This window comes from Homo sapiens, chromosome 8 (genome assembly GCF_000001405.40).
Source record: "Homo sapiens chromosome 8, GRCh38.p14 Primary Assembly".
Classification (NCBI taxonomy): domain Eukaryota; kingdom Metazoa; phylum Chordata; class Mammalia; order Primates; family Hominidae; genus Homo; species Homo sapiens.
This window is the reverse complement of record NC_000008.11, coordinates 60,812,680-60,825,101: the sequence shown is the minus strand read 5'-3', so window position 1 is coordinate 60,825,101 and position 12,422 is coordinate 60,812,680. Positions and strand designations below refer to the sequence as shown.

Below are 12,422 nucleotides of genomic sequence, written 5' to 3'. Positions count from 1 at the left end.
TAGCCTGCAGAAATTAGCATTAAAAATACTTTGAAACCCTTTTTGTACTTCCGTGAAACTCATCAAATCATCCAAGGCATGCTAAATGACAGGAGCTTTGCTTTCCAAATGTACATTAAAAATAAAATATAAGTGATCATAACCACTATATAAACTATGGAGTGAAAAGAAGCCTGAGGATGACAGGTCATGTTGCAATTCCCACTAGGAAATCACACACAGCAGTATCAGACAGAAAATAAATCAAATCCTTCTACTCCTACGATATGTTATTCCATGATGCTCCTGCTGAAAAAAAAATCTAGAAAATCTAATCAGGAAGACCTGATCATCTCTTGGGAAGCTGGAAGACTATGGGATAAGTGTGGTGTAAAACTCCAGATCAAATCTGAGGCACTGTAATGCCCCAAACTTCTAAGCATCTGTGCGAACTAAACCAACCCCAGATATCCTACCCAACTCATTGAGAACTTGCATCTACAAGTCCTGCTGGCCACAGTATGGCAAAACCTATGAGCACTGAAAAATAACTGGACTATCATCACTGAAGTAAAGCTTGGCCCAACAGTTAATGAAATGGCAGTACAGGTTAAGTATCCCTTATCCAAAATTCTTGGGACCAGAGTGTTTCAGATTTCAGATATTTTTAGATTTTGGAATATCTGCATTTATACTTACGGGTTGAACATCCCAAATGAGAAAATCCAAAATCCAAAATGCTCCAATGAGCATTTCCTTTTAGCATTATGTGGGTACTCAAAACGTTTTGGATTCTGGGATTTTTGTATTTGGTATGATCAACCTGTATTTATGAACAAAGGGTAAAACAAATACTTGAAACTCACTTTAGTGAAACTATCATGATTACACTCTGCTATAATACAACTGTTTAACAGACACTAGCCAACAATGTAAGAATCCAAAAGGCAACAACTTTTGAATAACTGAAAGTGCCAGAGAATATATCACAATATTTGACAAGCTTTTCAAATACTGTTTACAGGCATCAAATTCTGAGCAACGGGACTATCAAGTCAGCAACAATTCTATTCAGGTTCAGTGCAATCACCAATATGGTCACTGACCAAGTCCATCATCTTGAGTCCCTCCAACAGCTTGCAGTTCCTGTTCTTCAGCCTGTGGGCTTCATCAATGACTACACAGCGCCATGGAATATTCCGCAGCTCAGGACAATCAGTCAAAATCATCTCAAATGTAGTGATGATGGCATGAAACTTATAGGACCCCTTTATCACTCGACCCTATAAGAACAACTCTGAATTATTATTAAGCATTAATGGTTACATAAATAACTTTAAGGATGAATAAATAGCATAAAACATACGTATTTATCCCTTTGGAGATCTCTTTATTTTAGGTGACATACATTCTGTTTTCAAGTTATTTTGGCAGTTTTAAACGATATGGTAAAACAGAATTGGAAAACAAATGAGAAAACTGTCAGTAAATTTTGGATCTAATTTCCTAACAGAGCACATGCATCAATTACCACTAAGCGTACCCATTCTAGTCACACATTCACGTAGGACAGAATTTATAATAATTTCCCAAATCTAAAGATAAACACAGATTTCAATATTTTTTCTCCTTTAGTTATTTAATTGTAGGTCAGATTTTATACTTAGAACATGCACACACACATCTATCTATCTATCTATCTATCTATCTATCTATCTATCTATCTATATATAGCAAAAACATATATATAGCAAAGATCCTATTTACAGGACTTCCATTTACTACCCATAACATAAAACTATTTTAGTACATATTATTCTTCCTTATCATGTCATTTATAACACTTCACTGTTGATACACACTAATGGCATACAGGTAACTAGAGTAAGAAAAAAATTAAAGCAATTGCTACTAACAGCCAAAGCATAAATTCCTCCCTTGGGATGTGTTTCATTCAATGTGTCATATATTTCAAGGACTTTTTACATGCTTACTATTTTTCACTTCTAGCAATAGCATAATAAAATATTCTTTCTATTCACATTTAATATTACCAATTTTTGTTTAGTTTTCTCTTAGGCTTGCAAAATAAAACTAATTAACATATCAAAGCATTAAATGGATTTCAGTGATCATCCAAGGCAAAAAATTTCATTCCTTCTAATCTAATAATCAGAAAAACCAAAGCTATAAAAATGAAGAGCTGTTTTCATAGACACAGAAAGATAATACAAATGTAAATTGAGTCAGATATCTAAAGCAAATTTCTCAATTTGGCAAAATTTAGACCTTCCCAAGTCACCAAGACTTTGATTTTTTTTTAACACCTTAAAATGCACAGAGTAAGTACAAAGAATACAACCTGTGAAGGTTTACCTGGGGATCTTTGAAGTACATTTCATACAACTGAATGGTCCGACGACTAGCTTGACTCCCATGATACACAACCACGTTCAACTCTGTCCAGGTTCGGAATTCCCTTTCCCAGTTGGGGATTGTGGACAATGGGGCAATTACTAAAAAAGGGCCATGGATTCCTTTCAAATATATCTCATAGAGAAATGTAATGGACTGGATAGTTTTTCCCAAACCCATTTCATCTGCTAAAATGCAGTTTCGCCTTTAGGAGGAAAATGAAGTACAAAAGTTTAATGAGTATGGATATGACACACTGCTGTCATTTCACAAAATATATACCATTGTACCCACAAATGCATACCCAAAGGCTTTAGATGTTCTCTTAGATTCAACAAAATATATTTTCAAACAAAATTCTCAAAGAATAAAAATTATTTTTACACACTTATATCAATCTCTGTATTAATATTTATTAAATATTACATATATTTTCAATGCTTGTTTTTTGAAAAAGCTCTTATTAGAGTTAAAACATTAAGTTCTTTTTTATTATTTTCAATAACTAAAGGAAAGGAACTACAGATATATTTAAAAGTGAAGAAAAACTTGTTTTACATACATGTTGTACCAATTGAAAAGTAGCCAGTTTACTCCCTCCAACTGGTATTCCCTGAGTTTGTTATTGTTTTTATACTCCCTGGAACTCTCCGATTTCTTCCAATCATCAGCAGGAGGTCGCTCCTGTTTCAAATATAGTAAATCCCATTAGTGGTTTCCCAAAGACCACACCACTATGCTATTTTCAAATTAAATTCTCTACCATCAGCCAATTCTTACCACACGCTCTGTTTCCGGCTCCCTGGACATTAGTTTCTCAAACTCCTCGATCTTTGCTTGATCTATGTCCTGCCTCCGCTCCCACGTGCTGTCTTCATAAGGAAGTGAACACCACTTCACCAGATAGTGAGTCACAGGCTGGACCAGATTTAAATAAATCAGAATTGGATTCATTTGACCACATACATACATATACATATATATGTGTATATATATGTTTATACATATAGATATGTATGTGTGTATATATATGTTTATACATATATATGTATGTGTATATATATGTTTATACATATACATATGTATATATATGTTTATACATATGTATGTGTGTATATATGCTTATACATACACATAGGTGTATATACATGCTTATATATATACATATATACATATACATGTATATTTACATACACATTAAGGAAAAGCATGCTCTACTTCATTTATCAATAGACATTATCCCAGCATGAGTAAGTCTGAATTGACAGAAATTTAAAAACTATGGCCATAAACAGCTGTTCCTAGTTAAGAGTCTCAAGTCTAAACTGGAAACAGTATTATTGGGCATTATCAGAACAAATTAGCCTTTTATCAAAATCATTGGTAAGTGATGTTCGAAAGCCAAAAAGTATAAAGAAATAGCTAGCAAATAGCAAAGCTGAATTTGAGATTTTTTTTATCTGTACAAATCTTTCATCAGGAGTTTGATTCAGACTTACATGGTAAATCATCTTAGCATATTTCAATGTTTACATAATTGGCTGGTTTCTTAAAAAATGAGACATACGCTTAAATTTATTAGGATCTCTACCTTTTCCTTAAAAAGAGTGATACTGTTTGTGTCCAATCACATTAAAATAACATATTTGAGCTTTATAAGGGTGGAGGGCAAAATATTTCAGGTAATGCAGATCAACAGGATTTCCTTTGTCTTTCCTCTAGAAAACACTTGGGTTTGTTGACCTTCATTTCAGGACCAAGGAACACTGACCTAGTTGTGATGTGAAAAATATTTCCTGTACAATGTAAATATGCTATGAAACAATTTTTTGAAGTATAACTAAGGAAAATTAGAAAAGTAAAGATCATGTTACAGATATGGTCTTGGAAACATCATAGAGTGTCATGACACAGAGTTTGGAAGAAAATGAGAGTTCTTTGCAGACCCTCCCTAGAAAAGCAAGATCCAAACACTGTATATATAAAATTCAATTTACATGGAGAAGCCAGGAAGGACACAATTCATGGTGGGTGGGCACATCATTATCAAGACACAATACTCAGAAGTCACTACACTTGTCTTCATTCTTACTTCCCTATCAAATATCCCTTATAATCTTACAGAGTTTTGCAAAGCAAAATAAGAGTGTTGAGACTAGGATCTTTTAAGAGAAATAATGTCTATTAGCCTCTGTGTACCACATTAAATGAATTCATCAACTTCACTAATGATGCCCAATTCTAAATAACCTTAAACTCCATTCTGCCACAAGAGACACTCAATTATATAAGGATACTTTGTGCTACATGACAGATTTATACCAAAATGTACTGAATTCTTTATCATATTGTGGAATTGTGCAAAATGTCAATGTATTTCTTTCATATTGAAAATCAATTTTTTAAAAAAGTTCTCAGACTAAACATAAAACATATTTAGCACTATTATTAAGTCATAAAACTAATAATAAATCATTAAGTTTCAGTTAAATTTAGACCAAGTGTGTCACAGTCCAAGGCTCTGACCAAGACCAGGTCTAGGATTCTACCATCTTCTCTATAAACATGTATGGGTTGCCTGAATCACCACTTTGTAATACAAATGATCTCCTGTTACCTCTCCCCGGTCATCTGTGCTACGTGCAAAGTCCATTATCCGGTCAACCTCCACATAATCTGGATTAAAAAGCTCATCCTCAATCTACACCAAAGGGAAAAAAAAAAGTTAAAGGTTTACTTATTTCCTAAGATGAAATACTATTCCACTTTTCACCAAGCAATAATATTTTGGGTCACAGCAATATAAAACTTACATTTGGCAAATTCTATTATATTAATTGAAATGCTACAATTTAGCAAAATCACTCCCCATGAGGAAATCAGACTTCTCAGACTTCGTTAACTGGGTCTTTTAATTACCGTGTGAAACCTTTTACTGTGAGAGAATGTTTAAGAATATTTTAAATGAAGTGTGAAATTACAATTCACTAATGAGCAATCCAAAAGGCTTATGGCATGCGATGCATTTAGCATTCTCGAAACTACAGTTTGCAATGAAGAATCAGAGTCATGCAAAGTGTTACTTGGAATATTGTAACTCCTGGAGTTGTCCGATGCCTTATAGCATATCTACAAAATGTTATTCAAAAGCCAAATACACTGCAAGCAGCTAATTTCATATTTTAGCATGATCAGAGTTTATAATGTTTGGTAGTATTTGTCAACCAATATTAGTACCTCATTTAGAATCACAGTCTCATCATTAATCTGTTTTCTAATGATTTACATTGAATATAGTGTGTTTAGGCAAAAGTATTAAGGATAACGAAATGAAGCCTAAATAATTGGCTCATTTAACCAATATATTAAACAATCTTTACAAAAGTAAAGTAATACTGCTGCCTGCAAAGGTATCTCATATAAAACACTAGAATATGACTCAAAAAAAAGTTATAGGCTGGGCACAGTGACTCACGCCTGTAATCTCAGCACTTTGGGAGGCCAAGGCAGGCGGATCACGAGGTCAGGAGTTCAAGACCAGCCTGGCCAACATGGTGAAACCCCGTCTCTACTAAAAATACAAAAAATAAGCTGGGCATGATGGCAGGTGCCTGTAATCTCAGCTACTCGGTAGGCTGAGGCAGGAGAATCGCCTGAACCCGGGAGGCGGAGGTTGCAGTGAGCCGAGATCGCACCACTGCACTCCAGCCCAGGTGACAGAGGGCGACACTCCGTCTCAAAAAAAGAGTTATAGACTAAGCCATACCCAAAAGAAGTTAGGGTCAGACAAGTTTCAGATGTTAGAAAACAAAAGACACATTTTATTATGTGCACCTCTCAATTAACTTATCAATAACATAACTGCATTAAAATATTTTGCAAAAGGTAAACTAGAAGTCACTTAGACACCATTCTTATCCCTTGAATTGCAGGTGGAAAAGATAAGCAGTTCAGTCATCATCTGCTCAAGAACAACAAACTTTCTCTGGCTATTCGGCCCTCTTAAAACACCCAGTTGGGAAGCTTTGAACCATGAATTATGAAACAAAAAGCAGAAACACAAACATATGTCTCAAGTATCTCAGGCTTTTACACAGAGGTAGATTAGTAAGGCAAAAAAAAATCCATTGAAATGTTCAATTAATATAAAGTATTAGTGTATTAATGCACTGGCTTTTCAAAAGCTTCTAGACGTAGGTAAACACACGTGTTATCCATGTACAGCAGAAACACTTAAACTTTCCCAAAACTAGGTTTGGATGGCAAAAACTCTCTTTAGGAAAACTTGTTCTTAAACATAAGCTTTCACAGTCAGTGCTGAATTAAAATCCTTAACTTTTCCTACACATTTCTACCCTTTAAGTGAGTAATCTGCGGCATCACACATGTGACGAAATTTCCAGTCTAAATGATGTTTTTGAATAGACATTTTTAGTTGCAGCAGGCTTGTAAGGCAGCCTAAGGAGAAACAAAGAATGTAAAAGCAGCTGAAACTGAAAATCTCAAAGCAGTACAGCCATGGAACACCTGAAGCCATGATCATGTATGGGATGAAACAAACGGGGGCGTGTGCACTTTCATGTATAAAAGAGAGGGAGGAAGGGGATTGCTATCCTTCTCTGCTAACTCCCACTCAGGACAGAAACTAAGATTTCTAGCTGCCAAGTTACCAGGTAAATAATGTACATTCAACCTTGGTATGTGTAGCTAGGGCTAGGCACAATTTCCTAAAGACAGTGTGACTACAGGAGAGAGAATACAAATAAACTTAATAAACAGGACCAGGATTTAGGGATGGGGGGAAAGCTACCATTGCGCTTTTGCCTGTCTCCCTCCCCCTGGCCCACAGAAAAGGTCAGCAGAACACAGGGTGTCTCTTTCTAAAAGGAGGCTAATGATTTCAGCTCATCCAATGTCATAAAAATTTAACTCTGGTTTCATTAAGAAGGGCATGAAAAATAGAATCTCACAGCATTGTCCTCAAAATCAAATATTAAGATTCTTTCTTCAAAAGAATTTTCCTCCAAGTTCTTCTGAAGAATCTTCTTAATATTCTCCAAGATCTATGAATTGAGTCACATTCGAGTAACTCCATTCCACTCGGTCCTAAACACTGCACTGCCAAAAATGCTGCACACTCAGAGTGCCAGGGGTAGTGATGCAGACATGTGTCCAGTAAAAGAACAACCACATGATCTCCCATTGAATGCGGACTTTACCATAGGCCAGTTGGGACCATGGAAATCAGATCCCAGAAGAACACAGACTTGCTACCTGATAGTATAAGAATTTTATGACATAAAAGTACTAAGTGCTCTTCTGTCCCACTTTCCTTCATCTCCAAAAAGGGGTGGCAGTACAAAGTAGGTTGTTAAACAGATACTATTTTGCATCAAATTGTACGCTTCTTTTACATAAAGTCTACATTCTGTCAACTCTTTTAGGAAAAGAGGAACTAATAAATCAGCAAGTCTTATCTTTCAATGTTAGGGTTTTTCTTTTATCTACTTGAGGCTGTAAGTGAAACCAAATTGGCGATCCTAAGTCCAGAGACCCTAGTAAGCAGCTTGTGAAAGCACTTTTTAAAAAATGTAATTGACTATACTGAGGAGGCAGAGGGCAGAACTGGCACTTCTAGTAAATGCAGATGTTCTTCTCTGCCCTAGGTATTGCTGTACTTCTATACTGATACCTGGGATAAAGGGACACAGGCAAAGATATTATTACCAGTTTCTACACTACAGCACAGCATTTGCGAAAATGAGTTTAGTGAACTCTCTGTAATTAGGCATTGACTTCAACAAAAGAAATTTGCCACATACTTTCCCCAACAGAAGTCAAGCTTTTGTATCTTAGAACTTGTACTTAACATTGTAGATTTCTTAACCTGCTAAATCTCAATAGAACTTCTGTCCACTTACTTAATTTCATCATCTGCTAACTGTACTTTCATTACACGATTTTTATCATACCATCACCGCTATTTCCACATAATATCATAAGGACCCATATCTTCTAGCCTAAGCAACAGGAAGAATGAGAAATTTCCTGTTTACAAATTTGTTAGCAAGAACCAGTTACCAATATGCAAGTTGACAGCACCAAATGAGACTAACTAGTTTTTCTTAATTCATGGAACTAAAATTTTAAATTTAGAACATTTTAACAAAGTAAATACTTTGGAAAAGTAAGCAGGTATGTCGTACCTCTGAAAGGAACTTGTTCTGGCCCTGCTTTGCCTTAAATCGTTTAATTTTTTGCTGAATTCTCTTATCTTTTTCCAGATCTTCTATAGATGCCCACTGACAATGAAGATAAGAGCTGAAAGAACAAAACAATATCCTTGAAATATGTAGAATATAATTAATCCTTTATTATGTCTTATTCAAAAAAGTCAACTACACAGATAATTAAAATAACCTGCTTAATTACCCATTAAGGCTGCTGAGCAACATTTAATATACCCACCACTGTTTAGAATAAGAAGAGAAAATCAATATTAGTGCCTAAAATTTGCCTTCTGTCCTAAGCCTCCAGCTCTCTTACCTGTTACAGAGAGAGAGAGAGAGAGAGAGAGAGAGAGAGAGAGAGAGACAGACAGACAGACAGACAAAAGAGACAGAGAAGAGAGAGAATGGCCTAATAACAAGCTATTTCCATAAGTGAATGGATTATACTTCAATATAAAATTAGCACTACAGGGAGGCCTTAATTCTGAATTTATACTTTGAACCTCTTATCATTGAGAAATAGGTTTTTATCAAGTTAAAATAATTCAAATTTAAAATAGCAGTTTCTTTGGAGATAAGAGGTGTAGGGTGCCCTAGAGTCACCCAAGGCCTATCATACTGGTCCCAAAGGGAAACCTAACCTGGTCCTTCTAGAAAAATCTAGGAGGAAAGAACCACTGTCTGCTCCTGGAACACTGGGCCATGCCCCTCACCAGCTTCTTATCAGTTCCTGGTCTCCCAGACTGTGTTCCTCCAGGATTTCTGCAATGATATTCCTTGGTCCCCTGTGAATGTTTCCCTTGCTATCATCTATACCTGCACTGGGCAAACCCCCTCCCCTCAAGACTCCCCATCCCCTCCTCTGAGTATGCATGGTGTCTTCCCTCACCTGAACTGGAATACATATGCACTTCCCTTTTCTTCTCCAACACTCACAGGTACACAGTTAATGTTTTATGGCAACTCTGACATTCTTTTGCTTAGTTCTTCAATATTCTTTTGTCCCATCACCCTCTCCCTGCCCCTCAAACAGCCTTGAGAGCCTCTTATTTCTCTTTCTGATGACAATATTAAAAAGAAATTATATCTTGAATATATATACCCCTTTCAGAATCAACATACTAGTACTCTTAGAAATTGTGCTTTAGTTCACAGAAGTCAGAAGTTTAAAACAAGAAAAAGTAAAAACAAAAATTATACAACCATTAAAAATTTTTCAAAAATGATTCATGATATAGGAAATGCTTATGATATTAAGTAGCACATAACTGATAATCATGTCTAATATGATTTGCAAAGATAGGACTCATTTAGTCCTTCTATAATTGAGGGAAAAAAGGATTTTAAATACATATGACTTACATAGCTATGAACTGATATAAATGCTGTACATACACACACAGAAAACAGACTAGATGAAATTGCATCAAAATGCTAATACAGGTTCCAAATCTGAAAATCTGAAATTCAAAATGCTCTAAAACTCGAAACTTTTTGAGCACCAACATGAACTTGAAGGAAATGCTCAATGGAGCATTTTGGATTTCAGATTTGGGATGCTTAACCATTAAAGCATAATGCAAATATTCTGAATTTGAAAAAATCCAAAATCCAAAACACTTCTGATCTCAACCATTCCAGATAAGGGATACTCAACCTGTATTTATTATTTCTGGGTGCTAGGACTGCAAGTATTTTATTTTCTACTTTCAACTTGTAGTTTCCAAATTTCCAATAAATAATATGCAATACTGTCATAATCAGAAACACATATTATACGAGGCAGGCAGATCACCTGAGGCCAGTAGTTCGAGACCAGCCTGACCAATATGGTGAAAACCCAACTCTATTAAAAATACAAAAATCAGCTAGGCCGTGGTGGCATGTGCCTGTAATCCCAGCTACTCAGGAGGCTGAGGCGGGAGAATTGCTTGAACCCCAGAGGTGGAGGTTGCAGTGAGCTGAGATCACGCCACTGCATTCAAGCCTGGGTGACAGAGGGAGACCCTCTTCCCCCTGCCACACACACACAAAAAGAAACACATATTATAAAAATAATCTGCTCTAGTCTCCAAATTATTTGACAGAAAAAGGCACATGTGCAGTCAGTCAGTTAGTATTCTTGCCTTGGCTGAGGTGCAAAAGCCTTCAAAGCACCACCTGTGTAGCCTTGAACTGGACACAAGCATATAAGCAAGTGGCTCCAGCCCTGCTTTATCTGCTATAAACTGGGATGAAATTTTCAGTGTGACTCTGCTTTCTAGACTCTGATGATAACCCATTCTGGAGGCTTAGGAAGAAGAGGAAGGAAGAATAAAGGGTCAAAAATACGACTGCTTTGTCTGAATAGATAATTAAGGCAAGAAAACGTCCTAACTGGACTAGAACTAAAATATTTTTTAAAAGTTATGAAGAAGTCAATGTAAGAAAAATATTATGAAGCTAATAAGAAATAATCTGAACTAGGCCCTACAGATAATACAGTGTATGGTCACTTTGGAAAACAAAATTTCATTTAAAAATGTAACTACTCTTTATGAAACAGGTATATATTTATACCTAATCTTGACAGTTAAAAAAGAAAGAGCATATCCCTTACCCATATCAGTGCAAAGTAGTAAATATTTATATTTATAATACTTATAAATATTTATAGTTATAAGTAAATATAAGTAAAATATTAACAAACACAACTCCACATCACATTAAGACAATAATATGTCATGACCAAGTAGTTACTTATTTCAGGAATGCAAGGTTGGTTCAACATTAGGAAATTCACTAAAAATACACAATATTAATATATCTAAGGAGAAAAATCACACAATTATTTCTATTGACACTGCAAAAACATTTGACAAACTTTAACACCCATAATGGATTTTTTAAAGCTTAGGAAGATAGGAATTGATAGGTATTTTGTTAACACATATTTGAAGATTTTGGTTCTAAAGACAGGATCTTACTAAATGAAGAAACACCACAGTTTTCCACAAAAATCAGAAAGCATGGATACCTACTATCTCCACTGTTATTCAATATTGTATTTGAGGTTATTAGCCAATGTAACTGACAAGTCAAAACAATAAGAGACATAATAATTAGAAAATAATAAGTAAAGCTATCTCTGTTTGCAGATTATATGATCAGGTACCTGGAGAACCCTAGAGAATCAATTAGAAAACTAATTCATATAATAAAATAATCCAGCAATGTAGCAGAATATAAAATTAGCATACAGAAGCCAACATATTGTCTTCATTCACAACAACAATTACCAATAAGGGGATATGTTAGAGAAAACCTCTTTCACAATACCAACAAAGATAAAATACTTAGCAATAAATTTAATTAAAAATGTGTACAATTTGTATAAGAAAATATTTAAAACTCTTACAAGACACAAAAGTAGAACTGGACCAACTGAAAAGACATCATTGTCACACTGTGTAACTCAACATCATACATTTGTAAATTTAACACAATGTAAATAAATAAAATGCAAACAGGCATTTATATGGGGCTAAACAGTATTACATTTTATATATAAAAATAAACATGCAAGAATATCCCGGAAAACAATAAAACAGAAAAGCTACTAGGGAAATAGATCTACCAGATATTAAAATACACTATAAAGCCTCCCTAAGCAGTGTGGTACTGGCTTATAAATAGACAAGCAGTTCAAAGGCATAAAGTACAGATAAAGAAAAATAAAAAAATAAATAAAATAAATAAATAAAAACTTTAGGACAAAATAAAGTTTGGATCTCAAATCACTGAGTCAAAAATGGACTC

The 12,422-nt window shown here is 34.9% G+C and overlaps 1 protein-coding gene across 11 annotated transcripts in view, besides 1 other annotated feature; it reads right to left on the bottom strand.

Moving 5' to 3' along the window:
* CHD7 (chromodomain helicase DNA binding protein 7) overlaps positions 1–12,422 on the bottom strand; it is a 189,289-nt gene that overhangs the window by 42,927 nt on the left and 133,940 nt on the right. For 10 of the 11 annotated variants that reach the window (XM_011517553.3, XM_047421945.1, XM_011517555.3 and 7 more), the window contains exons 8-13: positions 8,601–8,715; positions 5,012–5,095; positions 3,175–3,312; positions 2,957–3,078; positions 2,356–2,599; positions 1,086–1,262 (exon numbers count right to left, since the gene is read on the bottom strand). The exons of the other annotated variant lie outside the window; for it this stretch is intronic. In XM_011517553.3, coding sequence (XP_011515855.1) covers positions 1,086–1,262; positions 2,356–2,599; positions 2,957–3,078; positions 3,175–3,312; positions 5,012–5,095; positions 8,601–8,715 — 880 coding nt within the window. The remainder of the gene's footprint in view (positions 1–1,085; positions 1,263–2,355; positions 2,600–2,956; positions 3,079–3,174; positions 3,313–5,011; positions 5,096–8,600; positions 8,716–12,422) is intronic. 11 annotated transcript variants of the gene reach the window in all.
* Positions 8,011–8,110: an enhancer, noted in NCBI's record as "active region_27428". NCBI's record gives its function as "activates an Ori minimal core promoter by ATAC-STARR-seq in GM12878 lymphoblastoid cells {active_cell/tissue: GM12878}" and the evidence as "EXISTENCE:reporter gene assay evidence [ECO:0000049][PMID:35858748]".